A 26588-nucleotide genomic window follows, 5' to 3' on the forward strand; every position below is an offset into this window, starting at 1 on the left:
ACTAAAGAGCTTCTGCACAGCAAAAGAAACTACCATCAGAGTGAATAGGCAACCTACAGAATGGGAGAAAATTTTCACAACCTACTCATCTGACAAAGGGCTAATATCCAGAATCTACAATGAACTCAAACAAATTTACAAGAAAAAAACAAACAACCCCATCAAAAAGTGGGTGAAGGACATGAACAGACACTTCTCAAAAGAAGACATTTATGCAGCCAAAAAACACATGAAAAAATGCTCGTCATCAGTGGCCATCAGAGAAATGCAAATCAAAACCACAATGAGATACCATCTCACACCAGTTAGAATGGCAATCATTAAAAAGTCAGGAAACAACAGGTGCTGGAGAGGATGTGGAGAAATAGGAACACTTTTACACTGTTGGTGGGACTGTAAACTAGTTCAACCATTGTGGAAGTCAGTGTGGCGATTCCTCAGGGATCTAGAACTAGAAATACCATTTGACCCAGCCATCCCATTACTGGGTATATACCCAAAGGACTATAAATCATGTTGCTATAAAGACACATGCACACGTATGTTTATTGCGGCATTATTCACAATAGCAAAGACTTGGAACCAACCCAAATGTCCAACAATGATAGATTGGATTAAGAAAATGTGGCACATATACACCATGGAATACTATGCAGCCATAAAAAATGATGAGTTCATGTCCTTTGTAGGGACATGGATGAAATTGGAAATCATCATTCTCAGTAAACTATTGCAAGAACAAAAAACCAAACACCACATATTCTCACTCATAGGTGGGAATTGAACAATGAGATCACATGGACACAGGAAGGGGAACATCACACTCTGGGGACTGTGGTGGGGTGGGGGGAGGGGGGAGGGATAGCATTGGGAGATATACCTAATGCTAGATGACGATTTAGTGGGTGCAGCGCACTAGCATGGCATATGTATACATATGTAACTAACCTGCACAATGTGCACATGTACCCTAAAACTTAAAGTATAATAAAAAAATAAAAAAATTAAAAAAAATAAAGTTGACTCAAACTTAAAAAAAAAAAAAATACAGAGGCAGTGTTTTTTAAAAAGTGCATACTAATTCCTGGATTCATGAGATAACTTCCAGGAAGTTGTAGATAGATAAACATTTCAACTTTAATCATTATACGCTTGAATGCAGATTAGAAAAATTAGCATTTTAAGCTTAGCAAACCCATGATTTCAGATATTATTGCTTTAGGATGTCGGTAACAGTTAAAATCTAGTCAGGAGATTAAAAGCCACCCTTATTTTAACAGAGGAAATTAAATATTAAGAATTGTTAATTGGGTATTAAAGAACTAAACGAGGCAAAAGGAAAACACTGAGGTATCATGCAGGAAGCTGCGACTCCTAGGGAAGAGAGGGAAATTGTTCAATTTTTGAAACTTGGGAGGGGCCCCAAAGAGCCAAAACTCAGACCTCTGACATTAAGTTGTTATTCTGCTAATATCAGTGTCTCTGGGTTGGGTGGGGGAACCCTGTGGCCAAGGCGCTGGACAGATGTCGGAATGAATACAGGGTGGTTGGTGCTGGTGATGTCTCTGAGGAGTTGCTATGAGGCTGTTGCAGCAAGTGTTGGGAAGACTAAACTCATATTAACAACTCTTCCTGGAATACCAGCCTCTGCTGGGGTGCAGGTGTTTTGAGGGTGACAAAGAAATAGGAAAAGAAGAGGAAGCAGAGAGAAGGGACACATCCTGTCTTCTTCCTCTAGCCTCGCCATCTCCAGCTGGGCCTCCACTGGCTGATCCTAATTAAGTCAGCTGCATAGGAGACATGGGGTTTGCTCAGTCCCAGCCCGGCACTAAAAGCTGAATACAGAGGGTGAGTTTGATTCTGTGAAGCAACAGCTTTGAATCTGCCACAACCTGCCCTTTCGGCCATTTAGCATCCACAGACTTCTAACCTAAACTTCCTGCAACAAGGAAAACAACTGTTTCTACCGAATACACTGCAAACATCCTTTGTACAAGATACCCTCAGCCTTTCTCCAAAATGAGGAGACACAAAGTCCCAGCAGACATTCTATCAGTTAATTACACCTAAAATTAATCACAAACCCACCTAATATTCTTACCCTACGACTAAATAGCGAAATTAACGCCCTAAGAAAACAAAATAAGGAGGTAAGAGAAGAAATTAGTACACACACATACACACACACACACACACACACACACACGCAGAAGAAAACAGTCATCCCTGGGTATCCAAGGACTGGTTCCAGGACCTCCTGCAGATACCAAAATCCACAGATGCTCAAACCCCTTACCTTAGACAGCATGTTTGCATATAACTTACGTGCATCCTCCTGTATCCCTTAGACTACCTCTAGATGATTTATGATGCCTAATACAATGTCAATGCTATGTAGTTGTCATACTGTATTGTACTTTATATTATTTTTTATTGTATTTTTATTTTTTGAGTACTTTCTGTGGTTAGTCAAGTCGATATCTGGAACTCACTGATATGGAGTGCCAACCCTCCATGTAACAGTTGCAGTAACTTGTTTCTGTAACTGGCTAGTCATAAGGCTGAAATAATAAATTTCCTTCTTTCCTTACACATCCCATGGTTCCTCTTCCCTCAGCCAGTAGCTCAGCTTCTCAGGATTTATACGGGGTGGGGTGTACCAAAACATCATTCCCTAAAGGACCTCAATCATTCCCCTCTTTGAGACTGTTATAGCTGTCCCTTAGAAGTTAGTGGCATACATGGGAAGTGCTAAAAATGCCCTAGAGAATCCTTGGGTTCCAGATGCCTTTCTCACCATCCACTGTGTAGGAACGACATAAATGCCCCTTTGTTGCCAGGATCACTTGCACCAGCCAAAACAGTAACCTCCAGCCCGTTGGTTCAGTGCTGAAATGACTGGATAGTCTCAATTCCTGTCTCAATGGAGCCATTGTTGTGTCCCCTAGCGGGAGCACTCCTCCCTTGGGAACTCAAGAGAAGCAGGAAACAAATCACCCATGAGTGGGACCACTCCATCTACCTCTGCTTGATTCCAGACCGTGCATTCTGACCAAGAACAGTCCCATGGAGTGGTCACTCAATCAAAGCACACGTTACATTTGTCAGATGGAGTTGTATTCCACCTAGGGCCATAAATGTGTCTTCAGCAGACCATTCCATCGTCCTATTATGCCCGCTATTCCTGGGTGATGGGGGATATGCTAAGACCAGTGCACTCAAGAGGCATAAGCCCCCATTACCCCACTTCTTTTATGGTGAAATGAGTTTGTCAATCAGAAGTCGACTGTGCAGACAGGTACATAAGACACGTAGTAAGTCCGGTAGTAAGTCCGTGGATTGTGGTGCTGGTAAGGCACTGGGAAGAACTCGTTACTTCCCAGAGTTGGGAGGTGCATCATTCTCATACTCACAGTGAAAAAAAAAAAAAAGGCCAGATTAACTTCAAAGTCCTATCTTTTCTCATAACTCACCAGAGAACTGAGGTCACAGAGCAATAAAACCTTCCTTACAGAGATTTGAGGAGAGAGGAGACATGTACCTCATTCACTTCCTGGGAGCGAAATTAAATCAGTAGTTCTCAGAAGTCCTAGGTACTTATCTGCAGACAGAAAGACAGACACACATACACACACTTAATTCTATGTGCTTCTTTCTGTACTTAGCATTTAGAATAGAGTTCAGACTAGGAGATGGTACCATTGGTCAGTGGTAAATTCTGTTGGGTTATACCGTAAGAAACTAAAGGTTATTTTTGACCTGTAAAAGGCAATTTCTTATGGTTCAACCTAATACATCACTATATTCTGATCAATGGCTGTTTTTTAAAGTTATTATTTGGAAAAAAGTTATATTACTGAATTAGACTAAAATTGTTATTTGAAAGTACAAGAAAATATAAAAAGTATGTGAAAGTAGATTTTTATTACAGAGCAAATTTTTCTATCAATTCAATGCTTTAAATAAAACAACATAATACCATAAACTGACAATGACCTGGGAGCATGTAAATACTTAAGGCTGGAGAGGCATTTTTATTCTTGATAAATTTATATAATAAATTCTTATGACATTTGATTCCAAATTGTATGTACGAATTGGCTTGACATAATAAATATAAACATAAGGGCAATTTAAACATTGGCAGTAGTTTATGTAAGTCAATTCAAGGTCAGTGACTGGAGAACTATATTAAGAGAAACCTGAGGTAAAAAAAATCTTTAGGAAGCAGCCCTGTAACAATGTACATTTGTAGATCAGGGGCTAAAAATCCACTCTGAATGAATACCAAGAAGCAAAGGATGTACAACATCCATCACACATCTGTTTCAAAAACAGCATGTTTCTAAAATGATAATCTCTTTACAAGTAAACGTTACAGTATTAATAACTATAGAGACACCATTGGGATGAGCTCCAGATGCCCTGCTGACTTCCACCAAGCACCCCTGGGCCATCGCTTAAGGCATCCATCTTAATCCTGGGGCTTTAAGAACATCTTCTTTGCTTTAATTGGTGTTATGTCTCCATTTTCATCTTCTTCATAATTGGCATGGTCTCTCTTTCTGGCAAACTTTTTCCCAATTGTCCCCACCAAGGTCTCATATCTGTCAAGAGGACAGGCAGCACACGTTTAATTTCAAATAAAAAGGTAGGGATCAAGCCTTGTCAAGAATATCAGACCAAATATGCAATAAAAAAGATTACGAAAAAGAAAACTATCATTAAAAGAAACCATCTGATTTAACAATTTATGAACTTCTCTAAGAGTGATTAAATTCCTTGCCATTTTGGTGTTTGCATTACCCTAAATAAATAGAGATGTACATTTTAAAATACACATTTCCAGCAGCTCTGGAAATGGGCCCTCAACTGGCAGCCTGAGACAGGTCTGTGGCCCCCGTAGGCCATTAAGAGAAGGCCGATCACAGTCATCGTCCTACTGGGGGACTCCCTTGAAAGCTGCCGTGCACTGTGGGGTAAGAGGAGCATTCCTGGGAGAGCCAATGAATGCTAGGTCCAGATTAGAAGGCTGCTGCGCAGCACGGTTACCTTCTAGCCATCTCTTCATCTGACACATCAAGCTCTACTGTTTCATCTTCAACTTCTTCTGCTTTGTGCTTAGCATTCATCTGAAGCATCAATTTCTGAAAAATACACCAGTGCTGACCTTCAGGCTAGAAAACGCTTGTGAAAGGAACTGATGTCAAACTTACCTGAAGGCAGAGAAACTGAAGTCAAATAATCTAGAGAACTAGTCAAAATTGATAAGGGACTCTCTGTAATACTTGATACCACAATGGTGTAAGAGAAGTAAGCTCTGAGTCAAAAAAATAGTAAGGCAAAGCCCCACTGAATTATACTTAGGGTGAATTTAAAGTGTATTTAAGATCATAAATCTTAGTATTAGTTACTCATATTTAAAGCAGGCATACTGCTGACACATTCCGGTGAGTGGGGGAAGAAATAATAAACTTTCAGATTTTCCCTGAACTTCCCCCACCCATCTTTAAGCCATATGGAAGAAACACTAGTCGTCAGTAATAATTTTAAATGCATCTCTTGGTGGTGGTGGTGGTGAGTGGAGGAGGTGGGAGAAGTGGAAGGCTGGCCCTGTTTAATGGAGGGAATCTGCACCTCAGCCTTACCCTCCTAAACTTTAGAGTGGATAATGCATCCCATGTAACATCCATGCACCACAGGGTCTCTCCTCCAACTCTTTCACATAAACCTTTTTGTGATAATTATCCTCTGACCTTTTTTTTTTTAAATGTGTAATCTCTTCTTTTTAGCAAGAGGAGAAGGAATAAAAGATGAGAAATCAGTCTTAACTAGTTTTTCTAAGGCTTAAAAGAGTGATAATAGTTTAAAACCTTTTCCTAGGGGGAGTGTATTCAGTGTTTCAGAATCCAGTAATTAGGGCCATTTTCTAACACCCGTCCCTGCCCCCCATCAATTTCTGCGGGCAGTGGCACCTCTCCTTTCCCATTGCAGCAGACATACTTTGGAATGCTCGCCTATCCAAACCCTACTCTTTGAATACCACATCTTCATAATCCCTGCCTTTTTCTTCCCTCTTCACCCCACTGCCCAGCCCCTCTCCTTCTCAATCTGAAGCTTAATTAAAGAAAGTCAAAGCGAGACCAGCATATATTAAAAACAAACACTTCTAACATAACACCTTAATTATCACACATGCCTCCTCCCACTCCGCCAAAAAAGAAAAGGAAAACTAACCTAGAATCTTTCAATAAACTCTGGCAATTGGCTTAGTTAACTGTGGCTCCTAGAGAAGTGGTTCTTAACTGGGGATGATTTTCCCCACCAGGGAACCTGTGAAAATGTCTGGAAACATTTTTGGTTGTCACAGCTGGGTAGGAGGGTGGGGTGTGTGTGTGCTACTGATATTTAGTTGGTAGAGAACAGAGGACAGGGATGTGGTTCGTCATTCTCTTAGGAAAGCCACCACCACAAAGAATTATCTGGCCCCAAATGTTAACACTGCCAAGGGCAAGAAACACTGGCTTCAAGTAATATTTACCAAACTAAAGATTTATATCTCATGTGTCCATTTGGTTCATCAAGTACTTGATAGGATGGCTTTTAACATATGAGCCAGAGTTCTAATGAATATTTGTTAAATAAAGGTCTGCTTCTCTATCCTGGAGCAGGAAAATTCAAATGAATAGCTCAGTTATAAGGCAAATATTCATTTTTCAAACAAACTGTCGAAAGGATTCATTTAAAAATCTACTTACAAGCTTGGATTACAACAGTCCATTAAAAAGTCAAATGACATAATTCTAAAGTAACATTTTTCCGTTAGAAAAAATACATGTATAGGTGCCAGAAAATAACTTTTCATAATAGCATGATATGAATAAAATCTTGACGTTCCTGTAAAAGACACAACTTGAAATTTTAATATTTATGGTGGCTCTGTCAAGGGCTGTATACTGCTATATGAAATTATCTACTCACCTCTACCATAAAACTAGACTGCAATGCCTCCAATTTCTTTAAATAGCTATGGCGATATTTCAAGACTTGTTATTTTCTATATAATGAGTAGAAATGGTACCTGGTGGAGAAACACCTAAGCCCAATTATTAGCAGAAAAAAATTCAATTGGAAAAATTTTTAATTTGAAGCAATTATATTTAATACCTCAACCTCAGGATTAAATCCTCTGAATGACATTCTTCCATAGAGAAGATCTTCACATAGTAAGAAACTCTGCTCTTCTATTATGAAACTCCTAAATGGGAAAATAAAAATAGCATTTCTCCATATATAAAGCACAGCAAACAAAAGCCAACACTTTGAATAAAAAAAATAATCAACCTATGGTTCTCAGTAGAATGAAGTAAAAATACAGTAAGATTTCTAACTTAGGGTTAAAAATAAAATCTGATTAATTTGGTCAGCAAAGGCATTAGGAGACAAGAGCAGCAAGCTAGAGGCACAGCCTCTCTTAAACACCACATTTAATTTGCATAAATATCTACATAATATAAAGATCTAAAGTATTGACAATAAACTTGAATTTGCCAAAGTTGAAGCAAAGTTTCTTTTGTGTTTACATCCCCTCACCATATTTTTTTCCAATTCTTTTTCAGAAAGGAAATAATATGTATGTAAAAATACACATACAGTATACAGTGACACACTACTCCAAATCATTTTAATAAAGTTTCTGGCATATTTTGTCTTTCGTTCTCAGGGATTTCAAAAATTCCATTCTCTAATTATCAAAGCAGCACATTTTAAGGAACGTAATTTGGAAAGCAGAATAAAGTATGAGTTTATAAACTGCCTGTAAGCTCCTTACCAAGAGGATAAAAAGGACTGTTAGTATATTTGAATATTTCCTTCCAGTCTTTTTTGTACTTGCATTTACGTTGATTCTTGAACACAGGTCTGAGCTGTGTGGTGCACTTATACACAGATTTTTTTCAAAAAATTTCAATAGTTTTTGGGGAACAGGTGGTTTTTTGGTTACATGGATAAGTTCTTTAGTGGTGACTTCTGAGATTTTGGCCCCCACCAAATTCTTATTACAAATCCAGGAGAAGTAGTGGGAAATCAGAGGCTTGAGCAGCTTTAACAGTGTTATCAGTCAGAGCTCTTAGCTATAAACACCAAAGGCTGACCCTGGATGACTTCAGCAGAGAAGGAATTTACTGTAAGAACACTGTAGGCTCTTCATTTCCAAGGGGGACTGGTTCCAGGACCCCTTGTAGATATCAAAATCTGTGACACAAAGAGCCAGCTGTACTGGGCATCTCAGAATCACCGGGAAGGCTGAAGGGGCAGAATTGGAAGACGGGCAGAAATAACGGTCGCTAGGTGGTTGCACCAGAACCAAAATCATGCTAGAGAATGACCCTAGGAAAACCACTGTTGCTGCTGACGGGGCTGAGCACGACACCACTGATGGCATTGGGGCAGGTTGCGTTCCCTGGACCAGGATGTTTCTGTCTGCAGCAGAATTTCTCTGCTGAGTCACCACCACATGACCGTAAATCCAAGGTGACATATCTATCTCCAGCCTGGCCATAAACCCTAAAGCATGGCAGGAAAGCAAACATGTGGCTTTTAAGGCTTGTTTGCCGGAGTAGGCTCTGATTCTCATAAAGATTCCCTTATGCAACAAACACTTATTAAACCAAACTGTGTGTATTAAATCAAACTGCGGAAACAGCCACCAGTAAAAGAGCCTCAGCTGGGCACAGTGGCGGATGCCTGTAGTCCCAGTTACTCAGGTGGCTGAGGCAGGAGAACTGCTCGCATCCCAGAAGTGGAAGTTGCAATGAGTCAAGATTGTGCCACTGCACTCCAGCCTGGGTGACAGTGTCAAACACTCACCTCCAAAAAAAAAGAAAAAAAAGGAGCCTCTGCTCTCCTGGAGGTTACAGTCTATAGAAAGAGGGGCCAAATAATGAATGAAACATGAAACATTTATATCACACAATGGATGAAAATAAAGCAGGTTATTCCATCCCTAGCTGTAGGGGAGTAATTGGTATGGAACTAGCTTTCCTGCACCATAATTATATAAAACAGGACAAAATATAAAATGACCATTTTCAGATAATGAACAAATCCAAGCATATGACTGTGATGCCTGAGAGAAGAAAATCAAATGAAGTAGACCCCATGAATGCGGAGCTTTCTGCCTGGAGGCAATTTCCAGATTGTGGAGCAGGGAGTGGGGGACTCACACAAAACCCTGTCTTGCTGAGCTTAAGAGACAAACTGTTTCATTGGGGCTTTAGTTGAAAAAAATAAAGGCACAAACTGAAGTTTGGGGTTATGGTGGTGGCTGGAATATCTGGGTGAGGATACCACTGAAAGGGAGCTACACTATGGAATTCAGGACCTGCATACTGGGTTCCCTTGAATCTTTGGCTGACCATGAAGCTGCACATGTGCAGGATGAGTCTTTAGACTTAGGGAAAAAGTAACTGCTGGAGAGATGATTTCTGGGAGAACACCTGCTGCATTAGCTTCCTGTGGCTGCTGTAACAAATTTAAGCTGACAAAATTGGTGGCTTAGAGCAACAGAATTTATGCTCCTACAGTTCTGTACAAAATCCAGATGTTAGTAGGCCTGGGATCCCTCCAGAAGCTTCCACGGTTACAAGGCCTTCTGTGTGTCAAATCTTCCTCACCTCTCCTCCTTATAAGGAAAAGTGATTACATTTAGGGCCCACCCAGATAATCCAGGATAATCTCTCATCTAAAGATCTGTAATTTACTCATATACCAGCAAGGTAAATTTTGCCACATAAGGTAACACTCACAGGTTTCAGAGATGAAAACCTAGATATTATCTGGGAGACCATTTTCCAGCCTACCATACCTGGGGAAAAAAAATTTACCCTGCAATTGCATGTTGAAGAAATAACAGAGCTTGCACAGAGCAAGGAAATGTTTGAGTTCTGCCTAGCCAGAGAGGAGAGAACAAGCTAAACACTCTGTGATATTTAGTAGAAAGGCCACACCTTAGGAGTAGAGACAATTTAGCTACAAAACACACCCTAACAAAATCAAGCTGATTGGCATGTAAGTCAACTGCCTAATGAAACAAAATTCAACACTCTATTAAGAAAAATAACAAAATCCAGGTAGTCAGCAATGTAATACATACAAATGTACAGCACACAATAAAAAATTCCTAGACATGCAAGGAAGCAAGAAAATGTAATCCCCTCATAGAAAGAAAGAAAACAACTGAAAATGAAATTAGTAGAAATGGACTTTAGAATAGTTACTGTAAATTTATTCAAGGATTTAAACGAAAACATGCATGCAATGAAGAAAGAAACAGAAAGCCTGAATTAAGAAATAGAGACTGCAAAAAAACACCAATAGAACTTATATAATTAAGGGAAAAAACAATTTAAAAAAATAAATTATATAACTGAAAAAAAAACTGCAGTGAAAAACTGGATCAGTCCTATATCTATCAAATAAATGGAATTCATTACTAAAAATCTTTTCACAGAGAAAGCTTCAGATCCAGATGGCTTCACTGGTGAATTTCACCAAGCATTTAAGGAAGAAATAATTTCAATTTTACACAAACCAAGAACTAAGAAGAGGAGGTAGGAACACTTTCCAACTCATTTTATGGCCAAAACCAAAGACATTACAATAACTCTACAGTCTAATATCTTTTTTAAATATAGATGTGAAAATCATCAATAAAATGTCAGCAAATTGAATTTAAAAATTTTAAATGTTACATATGAAGACCAAGTAGAGTGTATGTCAGAAATACAAGGCTGTTCTGATATTCAAAAGTCAATAGTTTTCAACACATTAACAAAATAAAAATCATGATCTTCTCATAAGAAATTATTTGACAAAATTCAACATCATTTATGATGAAAACCCTCAGCAAACTACGAAAATAAAGGAGTATCTCTGACCACTGATCAGGGGCATTGACGAAAACAGCACTTCATGTGTAATAGAGAGAAAGTAAATGCTTTCCCAACTGTGATCAGAAACAATTCAAGGACTACTCTTGTCGTTTCTATTCAATACTGTATTGGGTCCTTAGCCATGAAATAAATCAACAAGAGGAGATAAAATGTATAACTGTCTTTTTTTGCAGATGACATAATTATGCATGTAAACAATCTTAAGGAATCCACAAAAAAACTACTTGTCAGTGAGTCAATTTAGCATTACAGAATACGAAGTCAACGTACAACCTTCAATTTCTACACACCCCTCCACCCCATACATACACACAACAAATAAGTTTGAAAAAACTCTATTTATGATATATAAAACTATGACAGACTTAGAGATAAACAATGCAATAAGCAAAGAAAATTTTTTCAATAAATGTTAATAGGTGCAGTGGCTCATGCCTGTAATCCCAGCACTTTGGGAGGCCAAGGTGGGCAGATCACTTGAGGTCAGGAGTTCAAGATCAGCCTGGCCAACACGGAGAAACAGTGTCTCTACTAAAAATACAAAAATTAGCCGGGTGTGGTGGGGCAGCACCTGTAATCTCAGCTACTCAGGAGGCTGGGGCAGGAGAATCGCCTGAACCCGGGAGGTGGAGGTTGCGGTGAGCCAAGATTGCGCCACTGCACTCCAGCCTGGGTGACAGAGTGACACTCTGTCTCAAAAAAAAAAAAAAAGTTAATAGGATCACAGGTTATCTATGAAAGACATGTCCTTTGATTTCTACCTCATGCTGTACACAAAAAGTTAGAGGCAAACCATGGATAAAAATGTCAGCACTATAACTACAAAATTTCTAGAAGAAAACAGAAAATATCTTACCATCTTGGCATAGCCAATGATTCATTAGACGAGAGTCATAAGGAATTAACCATAAAAGAAAAAATTGATAAAATAGAAACTCATCAAAAGACAACATTAACAGGCTAGAAGAAAATATTCACTATATATATATGTGGCAAAGAACTTGTATTCAGAACATAAATAACTCCTACATGCACAGATGTATGTAAGTTTTGTCTCAAAAAAACCCTAGAAACACTGAGCTTGAGTTAATGATGTGCATGCTGCAATATTTCAGAAAGAAATATACTGATGTCTGCAACTTACTGCATCAAAAATACAATAAACTGATGGCTGGATGGGGGATGAACAAATATGTGATATAAAATATTTAAAAAAACAAAACAAAAACAAAACTTTCTCAATTTTTAAAATGGCCAAAATATTTGAAAAGGCACTTCACAAAGGTAGATATGGAAATGGCCAAAAAGGAAGAAGTTCTTCAACATTATGTCATCAGGAAAATGCAAATTAAAAACCATAATAAGATGCCACTAAAATAGTTAAAAGTAAAAAGATACATAACTCCAAATGTTGGACTCTCACACTTCCTTAGTGAAAGTGTAAAATCATAGAACAAACTAGTCTGAAAATTTCTGTTAAAGTACAATTCCACAGTTACAAAAGAAATGAAAACATAACAAAACAAAACTTGAGTATGAATGTCATACCAGCTTTATCCATAAGCGTAAAAAAACAGGCTGGGTGTGGTGCCTCATACCTGTAATCCCAGCACTTTGGGTATCCGAGGCCAGCGATCACCTGAGATCAGGAGTTCAAGACCAGCCTGGCCAACATGGTCTCTATTAAAAATAAAATTAGCCGGGCATGGTGGTGCACGCCTGTAATCCCAGCTACTCCGGAGGCTGAGGCAGGAGAACCGCTTGAACCTGGGAAGCAGGCTGCAGTGAGCCGCGGTTGCGCCAGTGCACTGTAGCTTGGGCAACAGAGCGAGACTCCATTTCAAAAAAAATAAATAAATAAAAATAAAAAAATAAAAAACTGGAAACAACCCAATCATGAGTTCTTTAACATTATTAGTCATCAGGAAAATGCTAATTAAAAACCACAATGAGATGCCACTAGAATAAAATTAAAAAGATATCTAACTCCAAATGTTGAACTCTCATACTTCCTTAGTGAAAGTGTTATAACACTTCTCTATTAATGTCCATTAATAGAAGAATGAATAGATATACCGTGGTGTATCTGTAAAATGAAATACCACTTAGCAACAGAAACAAATTACTGATGTTCCAAAACAAGGATGAATATCCAAAACATTTTGCTGACACAGTTAAGCACATATTGCACAATTCCTTTTTTATGAAGTTCAAGAACAGACAAAATTAATCTACGGTTTAAGAAATCAGAACAGTGCTTGCATCAGAGCAGGAGTGAGACTGACTAGAAAGAGGGATGAAGATCTTTACGTGATGATGGAAATGTTTCCTTGATAGGAGTATGGTTTACAAAGATGCATGCACTATCAAAACACATACAGCTGTAGACTTAAGTACATTCCACTGAATGCAACCACCACCCACACACCCACACGTGCACACAGTTTAAGGGGAGATACTGAGGGCAGACTAGAGGAGAGGCGTCTTTTAAAAGAGTGGTCTGGATAGGCCTCTTGTCAGGGGTGACATCTGAGCAAGGACCAGGAGGCAGTGAGGAAGCAAGATATGAGGATGCCCAGGTGAAGAACACCTGAAGTCCCCATAAGTGGGGGCCCTGAGAAGGGAATCTAACCTGCCTGAGAAACATAAAGCCCCTGCAGTTGGAATGGAGACAATGCAGAGTAGTAGCAGGAGGTCAGAGTTACTTGCATGATAACATTAAGATGTCATCTTTTACTGTGTTGACATTTGCAGACTGTGCAAAAGCAACTCTGGGTAAAACGAATCTTAGCATGAGTGAAAGCAGCAGTGATACCAGACTACCCTGGTAGTTACATTCTTCACTGCCAGGCCCTCACAGTTCAAAGAAAAATGCCAGTTTCACATTAGAATGTTCTTGATGACACAGCACAAATTTATTTCTGTTAATCTTAGCCCTCAATTACTTTAAAAAATATTCGGTATACGAAATTGAAACTCTATATATAAGATACTTCTTAGCCGGGCGCAGTGGCTCACACCTGTAATCCCAGCAGTTTGGGAGGCCGAAGCAGGAGGATCACGAGGTCAGGAAATTGAGATCATCCTGGCTAATACGATGAAACCCTGTCTCTACTAAAAAAATACAAAAAAAAAAAAAAATTGGCTGGGCATAGCGGCGGGTGCCTGTAGTTCCAGCTACATTGGAGGCTGAGGCAGCAGAATGGTGTGAACCCGGGAGGTGGAGTTTGCAGTGAGCGGAGATCTCGCCACTGCACTCCAGCCTGGGTGACAGAGCGAGACTCCGTCTCAAAAAAAAAAAAAAAAAAAAAAAAAGATACTTCATCATAGTCAAATAATCTAACTGCACTTGTGTGACTGAACCGAGAGATGAATTAGACACTTTTTTTCAATGTCACACCGTAACTATGGTTTTGCGGGTTTGGGTTCTTTGGCAGACATTTTCTTGAAAATAAATAAAGTGAACCTGACACTTCAAGGGGAATAACTGACACTATTTACTGCCAATAACAAAATTCAAGCTTTCAAGCAAAAGTTAGAATTCCGAATAGCTTTTATCTGTCATCTTGGGCTTGATAGCTTCCCAACACTTAAAAGACTTTTCTGTTGAAACCCACGGTGATACTAATGAATGTGATTTTTGATATTGTATAACAAGATGAGTTAACACTGGGAAAATCTATACAACTCATTTTCCAAATGACAGATGCAGGATGTTAAGAAATCATATACAGGTAAAAGATCTATTTGGAATACAAGACAGACCAAGACATGAAAAATTCACTGGTGTTTTCAGATTCCACGTTGCAATTTACTCTGAAGAAACTACTACTGACTGAGTTTTGGAGTTGTACCAAAGAATTATCTGAAAAGGCCATTGAGATACTCCTCTCTTTTCAACTGTATCACCTGTGTGAGGGGGATTTTCTTTATATACTTCAACCAATACAACATGCTTTAACAGGCTGACTGCAGGCGTTCAGAGTCTAGCTGTCTTCTATTATGCCACAATGTTAAAGAGATTTGCAAAAACAGAAAACAGTGCCACTCTTCTCGTTAAATTTTTTGTCTTGAAAAAGTTATTTGTCATTAAAAATGTGTTAGGTAATGAATTTGTTATTTAAATAATTTTTAAAATTTCTTACATAGTAAATATTAACAAATATAAATCACACAAAACACTCTTTAGGTGTTCTAAATAAATTTTTTTTTTTGAGATGGAGTCTCATTCTGTTGCCCAGGCTGGAGTGCAGTAGCGCAATCTCGGCTCAATGCAACCTCCGCCTCCTGGATTCCAGTGATTCTCCTGCCTCAGCCTCCTGAGAAGCTGGGACTACAGGCACACGCCATCATGCCTGGCTAATTTTTTTTGTATTTTTAGTAGAGACGGGGTTTCACCATGTTAACCATGATGGTCTCGATCTCCTGACGTCGTGATCCGCCTGCCTCGGCCTCCCAAAGTGCTGGGATTACAGGTGTGAGCCACCGTGCCCGGCCTAGGAGTTCTAAATAATTTTTATAAATGCAAATAGCTTCTGAGTTCCAAAACTCTGAGAACCACTGTGATTTTGGTTCCTCTCTCACTGGCCCTCTAGTCTGGCTAGAAACTCACTTACTTCAGAACCGCCTCTCCCTGAGGGAATCTAAATTTGGGCACAGAACTTGCTGTTCAGCTTTTTCTATGAACTTGGGATTCCCTCTCAATTGCCCAATCTTATTCCTTATAGAGGGAGCAGCTGATGAGACCTCCTCAATTCCAAAGTAAATCATCTCTCTCAGGAAAGCACCATACATCAAAGCTTTCACTTAAGGCAAAGGAGGGACCCAGAGAAAGACAACCTCCAGAGGTCAGGACTGGATTCAGAGCAGGACTACTGGCCCCTCAGAGGTTTTTCCCACGGGTTTGCATTGACACCGTATCTTTAATATAAAAAGGAGCACAGGTGTTTTGTATCTACATGCATGGTTTTAAGAATTAGAAAAATTAATTACAGAGTTGGCAAGCAAGTGAAATATTTCAAAACTTACCTCTTTTTGTATTTTAATTATCCAATTTTCATTAATGAGGATAATTTTCAGGCTAAAACACACCCACAAAATTATTTCATAAATTTCGCAGATGAGAAACTACTGCTCAGAAAAAGCTGGACTTGCCTAAAGCCACAAATACCATGGCAAAACTCCAGTTAGAAAACCCTTCTCAGTGGGTCTCACATTCCTGCACATTTTTTGAGTGAGGCACTAACTGCCCGGTTGCTCTGGACTATCTTTGCAAGGATATCTGCATAGCGAGCAGCCTTGAAAAACAGTCTTCCTCTAAAGCGAAGGGCAGATTTGCTTACTGTCCAGCATAATACAGATGCCTCTCTTGGGGCCGAAGGCAAGTCTGCTTGTGGTCCGTTATCCAAGGTTCCAGTTTTCTAAGCTCAGGAGATCTCAGCTATGATGCAAATCCACTGGGTGCACAGCATCCACCTGGGCCACTTCACGCCATCCCTCATAGGAGTTGGGGACAAAAGAGAAATGACGCAAACTTGATGCTTGTGCTGCTTGCTGTACAGTAAGTCCTTTGTTTCTGATGGTGTTCAGGAGACACTACTCCCAAAATATGGCATCTTGGCATACTGAAAATTTTACACTGGAGGAATCTGAAAAATGACGTGCAGGTAGGATTTTCTGACTGTCCCCTGAAGCAGGTCATAAAAGCATCTCACATAAGAGGTGCCCTCCCTACACTCAGAGGAAAGCAACATCCTTATCTCAGAAGAAGGGACAGAGAGAGGAATCTGAACAAAAGACTTGCTAAGTTTCTCCTGGCTTATTACTCTTCGTTCATACCCCTTGCTCCCATCATATTTCTTCACAACTTTCCACTCTTCATCAAAGCTAACATAAAAACACTCAGGTTCAACCAGTTCTTCGGTATTCATTTTCTTATGAAGGCTCCTGTGTCACCTAAAACTTTTGTGAAATAAAAGTGTATACCTTTCTCTTTGTTAATCTGTCTTTTGTTACAGGGACCCCAACTAATGAACTTCAAATGGGTGGAAGGAAAGGCTATTGTCCCTCCCCTACATCTCAGACCCAGAAGGTTCCTATCTTCCACCAGCATCAGTGAAAGTGTGGCAGGCTAACTTGTTAGTTTCAGGTCCCTATAGCTTCTGACTCCAAACAGACCACAAAACACAAGTATAAGATGTACAATAGCCAAAAATACTTCTTAAACAACTTGCTACGGCAAAGGAGGAATTAAACTGCCTATACTTGCACACTCTTTCTGGACCATATCCTTGGGGAAAAAAACAATAAGGCAATAGATAGCAAAATCTTTCATCTGGTAAATTTCACTCCTAGGAATTCACACTATATCGGGTTCCCTGGAAACAGACTCTGAGACAGACATATATGCAGAAAACTTAGCAGGCAGTGTTGTTCAGCAGATGCCCTTCTAGGAAAACAGAGAAAGAAGGATTGGGCAGAGGGAGAAGATAATGGGCAATGTGGCTACACTAAGGCCTCAGCCACATATGAGAGCTCTGGAGTCAGGAATGCCCTTCAGTTGTTCCAAGTTGAGGCACAGCAGCTAGATCATCATTCCCCTACATGGTCTAGCCACTGGCTAAAAGTGTCCCCTGTGAGGCAGTGTTAACACTGAATAGCCCTAATTATCTTCACTGAATTACAGACTGATACGGCTGACATTAAAAATGGGAAAGTCGAGACTTTCAGAGCACAGACACATGCAATCTCCAAATTCACAGAATAGTTAAGACAACACTAGCAAAAAAGGATACACAAACATAAGTGAGTAGAAAGGAATGGGTGTACTTCATATATTCAGATATAAGGAAATACACACAATGGTGACAATCACTGTGCTTTATGCCTGGTGTTATGGTGACTGTTTTACATATATTACCTCATCTACTTCTCGGAATGTACTGGACAGGTACTATCATCATACCCAATACACAAATGACACAAAACAGGTTAAGTAACTCACCCAAGGTGACAAGTAAACAACTGGCGGAGCTGGGCATCAAACCCAGGTCTGCCTGACTTCAGAGCCCATGTGCTTAATCAACCAATCCATTCCATGATCTCCCTATTTAGAGTGTTAAAAACAACAACTCAATACAACACGTATACCAAGGACATGTCATCCATTCACCCCTCCAGACCTACTTCCCGTCTTCACCTGTTTCTCTGGCCTGGGAGGCTGACTTGAACGTAATGCACGGAAGGGCTCCTTTGCTGCCAGGTACCTGGCTCCCTTGCTAGGATGACCTTGGGCTGGCCGTACCCGTGAATGGAGGTAGCAGCTCCTGTAAGGTGCTCTCTCTACACAACTTATCTGCAGATTCGGTAGCAGCTATTCCCCACCCACCCGTTGACTCTGCAAGCTCAGGTGGTAATCACTCCCACTACACATGCTAGGAGGTGCTGCACTGCCCCGAGGGGCCCCCCTATGCCCCACCCACACCTTGATAGTCTCTCCTCAGTCTGAGAGTGTCATCTTCTCCTGCCAACATCCTGAGCTGATATACACACCTATACATAAACAGGATGCTGAGTAATGGCAAAAAGGCATTATTTACCTTCCCAGAAAGAAATGTAAAGGTCATTTTCTGGGAATAATATGCTGTATTAGGGGAAAAATACTGGAAACAAGATAGAAACAGTCCTGCTCTTTAATAAACAACTGGAAGGAACACTTTGGCAAGTTTACTTAAGGCATAAAAGTAAATTATAGCTCCAGCAGCAAAGGTCCCTTCCTCCCTGTGACCCTGCCCCTGGCACTATCTTCTCCCTCCTCACCAACATCTTGCTTCCTCTGAGAAGCAGAGAAAAAAAGTACCTTCTCCCGATCCCTCCTGGTGGGACATACTTTCTATCTTTAGAGAAGGGTATCTAACCTTCAAACAATGTCCAGAGGTCAGCCAAATGAACAGGGGAATATAACATTCCAAATCAAAGCCCAAACATCAGGTACAGAATGGAAACACATAAATGTGCCTCAAGACAGTAAGCAGCATCTTCAGTCATTTGACCAAAGTTTAAGTAAAACTACCATACAACAGAGCTTACTAAGGTGAGGAAAGTATCAGGGAAAAATGAAAAATAGCTTCCAGAAGGATTCAGCTAAATTAATGGATGAAATAAATCCAACACTCCTTCATTCAAAATTGTTGATCAGGCACCAGCCAAGCTTAGGGGTGGGCCAGAAACTGTCTACCCCAGCCTTCAGCACTGACTAGCTGGGTGAAGCTGGGCAAGTTACCCTCCCTTAAGCTCAGTTCCTCAACTACAAAGTGACAGAATCATAGGAGGCAGTTCCTAAGTTTGCTACGAAGATTCAATAACTACAGATGTAAAGTGTTTAGCCCAGTTCCTGGTACACACTATAGATTCAGTAAATGTTAGCTAAAATGGATGGTATTACAAGTAGTAACAATTTAAAAGAAGAAACAAAAACTTCTGACCTGCCTTAAAATGCTCAACCTAATGAACTCTGTAACCGAAACAAAACTGGAGAGACCTGAAGTACACCCCTAATCTTTAGAACTTAAGGTGATAGAGAGAACATTACAGCTTCCCCAAAGGTCTGCTGTTACTATCAGAGATATGTGGGCTAGGTTCCTTCATTCAATGTAAAAAAGGACAAAATAGTGGCTGGGAGGGGGAGTAGTAAAAATGTATAAATCCATGTACAACTTCTATAGGTTTAATATTTTTTAGTTGTGCTACTAAATCAATAAACTGAACAGAAACAATTTCATGGGCTTTATGTCACCGGAATGATGAGTTAAATTTACCAGGAGTTTCCTTCTGAATGCCACAAGCATCATCAGTATCAATTTTAATAAACCTACTCTTTCTCTTTAAGCTCTGGCAAATCCAAGTACCAGTGCTCTTCACTAATGATTTTCTTTTCTTCTTCTTCTAGTTGTTTCTTGGTTTCTGAGTCCAGTCCCCTTTGCATAAACTGTGAAAACAAACAAAATCAATGTCAGAAACTTTTCCCATTTTAGAACTGAGGAAACCCCAAATAATTTTCTTCTTCTACTTGTTCTCCTTCATTTATCTATGGAACCCATCTCAAGATTGAGGGTTGGGGCAAGTGATCAAACGGTTTAGCTCTACCCTTCCAACTTTACACTAGACGATGAGGGCTTGTGTCAGGGCATGAGAAAATGCACAATGTATATTTCCTTCGGAAAACTTAAGGGCTAAGACACCACATTCGAAGGTCTTGTGCTCACCCACAGAGCCCACTGGCTTTGGCACCTGCTGATCTGGGGTTGAAATGCCCTTCTTATCCTCTTCCACCTGGCCAACTCCTCGCCCGTCTGACATAGGTAAAGCTACTAGACTTCTATGAGTGCCAGTAAAATCAGTGCCTCTGTCCTAAATGCTTCCATGGCTCCCTCCAATAGACTCACCACATCTGAACTTTCTGAGCATCTATCTTTTCTGGAGACCTTAAGGACTGGGTGTCTGGGTCATCTCCTTCATCTGTCCCAATATGATGACTGAAGCACAGTAAGAGCCCGATAAATGTAGGCAGAAGCAAAGGTACATCTATAAGTCTGCTCTTCGTTTTTATTTTTCCTCTGAAATGCTGCTAAACTCTTGAGCTGCTCTTATCAAATCTGCAGAAAGTTGACTCAAAATATGGCAGTAAATAACAGTCCTGCTGCCAGTCTCTCACTAGCATGAATACCTGTATTTCTTCAGGGAACAAGTGAACAAACTTAAGAGGCTAACCACAGCAACAAGATAAAATATCAACACTGGAGAAAATAAAATCAGAAAATACCCAGAAGCCTCCTAGCAGTTAGGTTTCAGCTTCCACTGGTTTCTATGTATCCCCCATTTCTTTCCCTTATTCAGGTCCGATATTTCTTTTTTATTTTTTTTTTTATTTTTTTTTTTTGAGACAGAGTCTCACTCTGTCGCCCAGGCTGGAGTGTAGTGGCACGATCTCAGCTCACTGCAACCTCTGCCTCCTAGGTTCAAGAGGTTCTCCTGCCTCAGCTTCTCGAGTAGCTGAGATTACGCGCCTGCCACCACACCCAGCTAATTTTTCTGTTTTTAGTAGAGACGGGGGTTCACCACTTTGGCCAGGCTGGTCTCAAACTCCTGACTTTGTGATCCACCCGCCTCGGCCTCCCAAAGTGCTGGGATTACAGGTGTGAGCCGCTGCGCCCGGCCCAGGTCCCATATTTCTCCTCCTTCTATTCCACCTTTTCCAAACATAAGCCTTTTTAGGCATAAGCACTTTAACAATGACTACTAAGTTAAATGAAAAAACCTTAACGTTCACGAATAAAATAGTCATGCACTGCAAAATGATGTTTGGTCGACGATGGAACCCATATATGACAGTGGTCCCATAAGATTACAATGCTGCATTTTTATTGTACCTTTTCTATATCTAGATATGTTTAGATACACAGACACCACTGTGTTACAACTGCCTACAGTATTCAGTACAGTAGCATGCTGTATAGGTTTGCAGCCTACGAACAACAGGCTGTACCATATAGCCTAAGTGTGTGGTAGGCTATACCATCCAGGTTTGCGTAGATGAACCCTATGATGCTCTCACAATGATGAAATCACCTAACAATGCATGTTTCAGAACGTATCCCTGTTGTTAAATCATGTGTTAAGTAACACATGATGGTGATAACATCAAGTGCTGAAGAGAATGTGAAGAAACTGATCACTCAAACATAGCTGGTGGGAAAGTAAATGGTACAGCCACTGTGGAAAACAGCATGGCAGTTTCTTAGCAAACTAAACATACACTTACCATATGACCCAGCAACCGTCCACGCAAAATGAGTGCGTGTAAAATGGTGAAATCTGCGTCAGCTCACTGTCAATGTCCTGGCTCTTTATCATATCCTAGTGTTGTAAAATGTTGCCGCTAGGGGAGGTGGCATGAAGGACGCACGGGATATCCCTGTACACTTTTTGCAACTTCCTGTGAATCTATCACTATTTTAAGTAAAAAGTAAAAGAAAACAAGTTTGCAGACTAGTGTTTTGCAGTCGTCATCCATTTTACCTGTGTGTACATCCTCATCCCAGGAAAGAACTGCAGTTTCTGGAATGTGCACGCTATACTTCCCAGTCCTTTTGCCTTTGCGACTTAACACGTTTCCATTTTCTGCCTGGCAAAATATTTACTCTTTTAAGCCTACAGTGTGTGTCCTTTGGTAAGACTTCCTGGTTGGCATTTGGCTTGGCTCTTCCTAGGTCTGCTCCTATAAAGAAGCACATTCTCAAGACAGCCTCATCAACACTGGAATATTGTTCACCATCGTGCTGCTTTGGTGTCTCCCAGGACTACGATTCTGAATAGACCATGACTCTTGTTCATCTTGTATCATTGGTACTTAGGCGGCACCCCTGGTACACAAAAGAGCTCACTCAGTGAAAGTTCTCTGAATGGAAATGAACCTAGACCTATCTTATTTTTCCAGATTCTCTTTCTGGGATGGTTTTCTTTAAATGCAGATGCCTCATTTCATCACTAATATTCCTCGTGGTAAAACTCATCAATACTGCCCAACTGCCCTTTTTTCTCCCATTTAGTCATGTACCTATTCTTTTGGTATACAACAGCCATATACATATGTTCTGTACACATAGAAAGGACAGAACTCCCTGTGAATATGAATCAAGCACCTCCAGACTTAGGTACAAGTTCGATTCTCCTACTCTAGAGCATTTCAGAACACATTCCAAAACTAGTGAGGACTCAGAGCAGGCATCAGCATAATACAGTCCTCAGGCTAGATGTCTGTTGTCGTCGATAAAGTTTTACTGGTACACAACCATGGTCATTCGGTCTTGAACAACACTGGCAGAGCTGAGTAGTTGTAACAGAGACTGTCTGGCTCATAAGACCAAAATATTTATCATATGGTCCTTTACAGAAAGTTTGCCAAGCCCTGTTCTGAGAGTCTAACAGTGCCAAAATCACAAATAAGCACCCTCTACAACCATTCCATACTGGAAGACCTTCCATCCACATCCTTCTTTTTCTTCTTCCCATTAGGATCACCCTGCAATGGCTGACCAAGTCAGAGGCATTGAAGTGAGTCAGGATTAAATCCTCAACCCTCTTATACTTGCCTAAAAAGTGGTCCCCAACCTTTTTGGCACCAGGGATGGGCTTCCTGGAAGACAATTTTTCCACGGGTGGTGGAGAGGGGAAGGGTAGATGGTTTAGGGATGATTCAAGTGCATTACATTTATTGTGCACTTTGTTTCTATTATTATATTATAATATGTCATGAAATAATTATACAACTCACCACAATGAAGAATCAGTGGAAGACCTGAGCTTGTTTTCCTGAAACTAGACAGTCCCATCTGGGTGTGATGGGAGACAATGACAGATCATCAGGCATTAGATTCTCGTAAGTAGAGCGCAAGGTAGATCCCTCATATGCACAGTTCACAGTAGGGTTTCTGATCCTAGGAGAATCTAGGATTCTGCCACTGATCTGACAGGAGGCGGAGCTCAGGTGGTAATGCAAGCTATGGGGAACAGCTGTAAATACAGATGAAGTTTCGCTCGCTTGCCTGCCCGCTGCTCACTTCCTGCTGTGCAGCCTGTTCCTTACAGGTCATGGACTGGTGCTGGTCCATGGCCTGGCGGTTGGGGACCCATGCTATATAGGACTTAGCTCTGGTTAAGGCACCCTAAGTGCAGCTACTCCATGCCTTCTCACAGTATACTCTGTTCTATCAGTATAGACAGTGTCTCCTGCTATCTTGCCAGTAAGTTTTTTCTTATCAATGACCAAAGCTGCTAAACCAAATAGAGAATGTGGGTGATCTTTTTCCTTCTCCTTTGCTTCCAACGTCCAGTTGAGTCTCCCCATTTGGTGGGGGTGGACATTTAAGTTAATTTCTTTCTTCTTAGTTGCAACTCGGATATTTAGTTTGAGCCTGAGTCACCCAGTACATCATCTGGCTTATTCCAAGAGCTAAAACAACTGCTAAAATCTTTCCAATATCTGCTTGGCCAATTCACTCCACTTCTCTGAAGTTAATGTTATTACCAACCATAAAATCAAACTCTGTTCAGTAAAGATTCAAATTTTGCTAATATGCATGAAAGTGCTTGACAAACTCTAAGTTATGCTGCAATTTGTCCTCCACCCTCATTCACCCATTCATCCCTAACTCCATCCTAGCTCAACTCCATTCAAATCTTGCCCATATAATGTTTACTCTCTCTCTTTTTTTTTTTTTTTTGAGACAGGGTCTCCCTGTGTCACCAAGGCTGGAGTGCAGTGGCGCCATCTCAGCTCACTGCAGCCTTGATCTCCCAAGCTCAAGTGATCCTCCCACCTCAGCCTCCCAAGTAGCTGGGACTAAAGGTGCGTGCCACTAGGCCTGGCTAATATTTTGTATTTTTTGTAGAGATGGGGTTTCACCATGTTGCCCAGGATGGTCTCAAACACCTGGGCTTAAGCGATTTGTCTACCTCAGCCTCTCAAAGTGCTGGGACTACAGGCATGAGCCACTGCGAATGGCCTATCTTTCAAAACATTATGAATGCTTCCTTCCCTCTTTTGGAAATTCCACCTCTTTAAACATGACATGTAACAGTTTGCTACTCTCTAGAAGTAGTGCTTAGTGACAGGCATCACAGAGTACAGAGTAGTAATAAAGAGCCAGGGTTCTGGAGCCAGACTGCCTGAATTCCCGTCCTGTCTACACTACTTATTAGCTGTGTAACTTTGGGTAAATTACTTATTTCTGTTTCAGTTGCCTTAGCTGTAAGAAGAGAGTTACTGCCTGTAGTCACCTCAAAGTGTCATTATGTGAATTGCATAGGTTAATATACGCAAACCACTTCAATCATTGTCTAGTACTATAAATATTTGCCATTTTCTTGATACTGTTCCCCGTTTCAATAGCTTTCCATTGCTCACAAAATAAAGGAAAATATCTTTAATCTGGCCTCAAATTCCCTGCACGTTGTGACCATTGCCTACTCTGCAACCCCATTTCTTAGTACTTGCCTTCCAGACATACTGAATTGTCTCTAATTCTTGGAAATTTCCATGGTTTTCTTTTTCTTTCTTGCCTCTCAGACTTCTGAACTCAGTTTCTCCTAGTTTAGGACGCTGTGCCTTCCACCCTCCCAGTAACCTAGAGACTACCCTGCGAGACTCACCCTCTTCTCCCTGGAAGAAGAGGGAGTTCTGCCAGCAGACTGTCTTTGGACTTGGACTGAGTACTTCTCTGGGTCTCCAGCCTACTGGCCCACCCTGCAGATTTTAGACTTGCATCTCCACAGTCGTGTGATCCAGTTTTAAAAATACCCCCTCTCTCCATACACATATATACACATATACATCTTGTTGATTCTGTTTCTCTGAAGAACTCTACTAAAAGAAGTATTATCAAAATTAAAAAGGAGCTTGAACTCATGTAGCCTAATGCTCTTCTTTTTAAAGATGAGGAAAAGAGATATTCAGAGAAAGAAGTGAATTTACCTAAATTACCCAGCTAAGGAGTTACACTTCCCATATATCATATTTATTGCATATATAAGTAAGCAACAACTTCTCGAGAAGCTCGGTGAGTCCCCAAGGTCCCCAGCGCTTCTACCCTCACTGCACTGGGTAAGCTGTACCCTGACTGCTTCTGTGTACTCAAGCTCCCATCCGCCCGCGGGCCTCCTGAGAGAGTCGGCCTAATTCGTAAGCTGGTTCCCAGTAAACAGTGCAGAGCAGGCGCTAAGTGAATGAATGAGCACGAGAGCTGGAAGCCCTCTGAGGCCTCTCTGGTGTCCCTTGTCCGCCCGCCGCCTCGGCCCCGGCCAGGTTGGAAGGACCGGGTGCCCCTACCGCCCGGAGTGGCGCTCTCAGCGTCCCCGCACCTTCATGCGCAGTAGATTCTTGGACAACCTTGTCTTTCGCTCGGCCGCCATGGTAGCTTCCGCCCAGCGCCGCACTCCGGCCGCGAGCCTCACCGCACATGCGCGGAGCCGCGTGCGCAGCTGCGTCCCTCGCGTAGTGCGCGCCGCCCCGCCCCGCCCCTCCCCTGTGTCTTGCGCGCGGGCGCGGCCACTCAGCGGGCGCTCTGCTGACTGAGAGGCTCGGGTAAGCTCGCGGGGTGGCGGGCGCGGGGATGAGCGCGGCAGACCGCAAAAAAGCCGAAGTCAGAGGACGACCCAGAACTTGGCTTCCCCGAGCCGCGGGTCGCCTTCCCGGGACGTCGGCCTGGCCCCCTCGGAGGCCCATCCTCCCTCGGGGACTCCCTTCCTCAGGGACCCCCTCCACACTCAGTAGTCCTCGCCAGCCTCAGAGAGGTTTCCGCCACGCCTGCCACCCGCCTGGGCCGTGTTACCCACGTGTTTTGTCTTCATAACGTGGGTGGCGGGCTCCCTTTGTTCTGGGTCGCTTTGCAGGGTCCAGGTCGTTTTCTCTTCACCAGGACCCCACGAGTTGCTGCTTTCCTCACAGCAGCCCGGAGTCCCGGGGGAGCGCGGCGGGGGCCGCCCCAGGCAGGCTGGCTTCATTCCCAGGCTGCTGCCGATGCGTGTCTGGCCGAGTGATCTCTGCTAAACAGAAGAATCTCAAGAAATGGCAAGGGATGG

At 41.4% G+C, this 26588-nt stretch overlaps 1 protein-coding gene across 2 annotated transcripts, besides 14 other annotated features; it reads right to left on the minus strand.

Annotated features, from left to right (window-relative positions):
- Nucleotides 1-3905: 3905 nt before the first annotated feature.
- MPHOSPH6 (M-phase phosphoprotein 6) lies at nt 3906-25968 on the minus strand. Of its 2 annotated transcripts, XM_011522808.4 has the most exons (6): nt 25869-25968; nt 20396-20684; nt 19826-19938; nt 7168-7258; nt 5053-5147; nt 3906-4607 (listed from the first exon to the last, which is right to left on the minus strand). In XM_011522808.4, exons 3-6 carry the CDS (start codon nt 19933-19935, stop codon nt 4475-4477), a joined length of 429 nt encoding a protein of 142 aa, XP_011521110.1. In that variant the 5' UTR covers nt 19936-19938; nt 20396-20684; nt 25869-25968; the 3' UTR covers nt 3906-4474. The 2 variants fall into 2 exon arrangements, with proteins under 2 accessions (XP_011521110.1, NP_005783.2); NM_005792.2 differs by lacking the exon at nt 20396-20684.
- Nucleotides 7387-7531: an enhancer, noted in NCBI's record as "145 bp 16:82185320 sequence used in MPRA reporter constructs". NCBI's record gives its function as "activates a minimal TATA-containing promoter with rs7203990 allelic activity by MPRAs in C283T melanocytes {active_cell/tissue: C283T}" and the evidence as "EXISTENCE:reporter gene assay evidence [ECO:0000049][PMID:36423637]".
- Nucleotide 7459: a transcriptional cis regulatory region, noted in NCBI's record as "rs7203990 or 16:82185320 MPRA-significant variant associated with a GWAS melanoma risk locus at 16q23.3". NCBI's record gives its function as "allelic transcriptional activity by MPRAs in C283T melanocytes {active_cell/tissue: C283T}" and the evidence as "EXISTENCE:reporter gene assay evidence [ECO:0000049][PMID:36423637]".
- Nucleotides 8328-8622: an enhancer, noted in NCBI's record as "tiled region #8727; HepG2 Activating non-DNase unmatched - State 14:Gen5', and K562 Activating DNase unmatched - State 14:Gen5'". NCBI's record gives its function as "activates a minimal TATA promoter and a strong SV40 promoter by Sharpr-MPRA in HepG2 and K562 cells {active_cell/tissue: HepG2 | K562}" and the evidence as "EXISTENCE:reporter gene assay evidence [ECO:0000049][PMID:27701403]".
- Nucleotides 16472-16616: an enhancer, noted in NCBI's record as "145 bp 16:82194405 sequence used in MPRA reporter constructs". NCBI's record gives its function as "activates a minimal TATA-containing promoter with rs2967349 allelic activity by MPRAs in UACC903 melanoma cells {active_cell/tissue: UACC903}" and the evidence as "EXISTENCE:reporter gene assay evidence [ECO:0000049][PMID:36423637]".
- Nucleotide 16544: a transcriptional cis regulatory region, noted in NCBI's record as "rs2967349 or 16:82194405 MPRA-significant variant associated with a GWAS melanoma risk locus at 16q23.3". NCBI's record gives its function as "allelic transcriptional activity by MPRAs in UACC903 melanoma cells {active_cell/tissue: UACC903}" and the evidence as "EXISTENCE:reporter gene assay evidence [ECO:0000049][PMID:36423637]".
- Nucleotides 18875-19019: an enhancer, noted in NCBI's record as "145 bp 16:82196808 sequence used in MPRA reporter constructs". NCBI's record gives its function as "activates a minimal TATA-containing promoter with rs12102917 allelic activity by MPRAs in C283T melanocytes {active_cell/tissue: C283T}" and the evidence as "EXISTENCE:reporter gene assay evidence [ECO:0000049][PMID:36423637]".
- Nucleotide 18947: a transcriptional cis regulatory region, noted in NCBI's record as "rs12102917 or 16:82196808 MPRA-significant variant associated with a GWAS melanoma risk locus at 16q23.3". NCBI's record gives its function as "allelic transcriptional activity by MPRAs in C283T melanocytes {active_cell/tissue: C283T}" and the evidence as "EXISTENCE:reporter gene assay evidence [ECO:0000049][PMID:36423637]".
- Nucleotides 21528-21672: an enhancer, noted in NCBI's record as "145 bp 16:82199461 sequence used in MPRA reporter constructs". NCBI's record gives its function as "activates a minimal TATA-containing promoter with rs62044258 allelic activity by MPRAs in C283T melanocytes {active_cell/tissue: C283T}" and the evidence as "EXISTENCE:reporter gene assay evidence [ECO:0000049][PMID:36423637]".
- Nucleotide 21600: a transcriptional cis regulatory region, noted in NCBI's record as "rs62044258 or 16:82199461 MPRA-significant variant associated with a GWAS melanoma risk locus at 16q23.3". NCBI's record gives its function as "allelic transcriptional activity by MPRAs in C283T melanocytes {active_cell/tissue: C283T}" and the evidence as "EXISTENCE:reporter gene assay evidence [ECO:0000049][PMID:36423637]".
- Nucleotides 21665-21809: an enhancer, noted in NCBI's record as "145 bp 16:82199598 sequence used in MPRA reporter constructs". NCBI's record gives its function as "activates a minimal TATA-containing promoter with rs67612167 allelic activity by MPRAs in C283T melanocytes {active_cell/tissue: C283T}" and the evidence as "EXISTENCE:reporter gene assay evidence [ECO:0000049][PMID:36423637]".
- Nucleotide 21737: a transcriptional cis regulatory region, noted in NCBI's record as "rs67612167 or 16:82199598 MPRA-significant variant associated with a GWAS melanoma risk locus at 16q23.3". NCBI's record gives its function as "allelic transcriptional activity by MPRAs in C283T melanocytes {active_cell/tissue: C283T}" and the evidence as "EXISTENCE:reporter gene assay evidence [ECO:0000049][PMID:36423637]".
- Nucleotides 25825-25969: an enhancer, noted in NCBI's record as "145 bp 16:82203758 sequence used in MPRA reporter constructs". NCBI's record gives its function as "activates a minimal TATA-containing promoter with rs2303262 allelic activity by MPRAs in UACC903 melanoma cells {active_cell/tissue: UACC903}" and the evidence as "EXISTENCE:reporter gene assay evidence [ECO:0000049][PMID:36423637]".
- Nucleotide 25897: a transcriptional cis regulatory region, noted in NCBI's record as "rs2303262 or 16:82203758 MPRA-significant variant associated with a GWAS melanoma risk locus at 16q23.3". NCBI's record gives its function as "allelic transcriptional activity by MPRAs in UACC903 melanoma cells {active_cell/tissue: UACC903}" and the evidence as "EXISTENCE:reporter gene assay evidence [ECO:0000049][PMID:36423637]".
- Nucleotides 25944-26103: a silencer, noted in NCBI's record as "silent region_7765". NCBI's record gives its function as "represses an Ori minimal core promoter by ATAC-STARR-seq in GM12878 lymphoblastoid cells {active_cell/tissue: GM12878}" and the evidence as "EXISTENCE:reporter gene assay evidence [ECO:0000049][PMID:35858748]".

Source organism: Homo sapiens, chromosome 16, assembly GCF_000001405.40.
Source record: "Homo sapiens chromosome 16, GRCh38.p14 Primary Assembly".
NCBI classification, from domain to species: domain Eukaryota; kingdom Metazoa; phylum Chordata; class Mammalia; order Primates; family Hominidae; genus Homo; species Homo sapiens.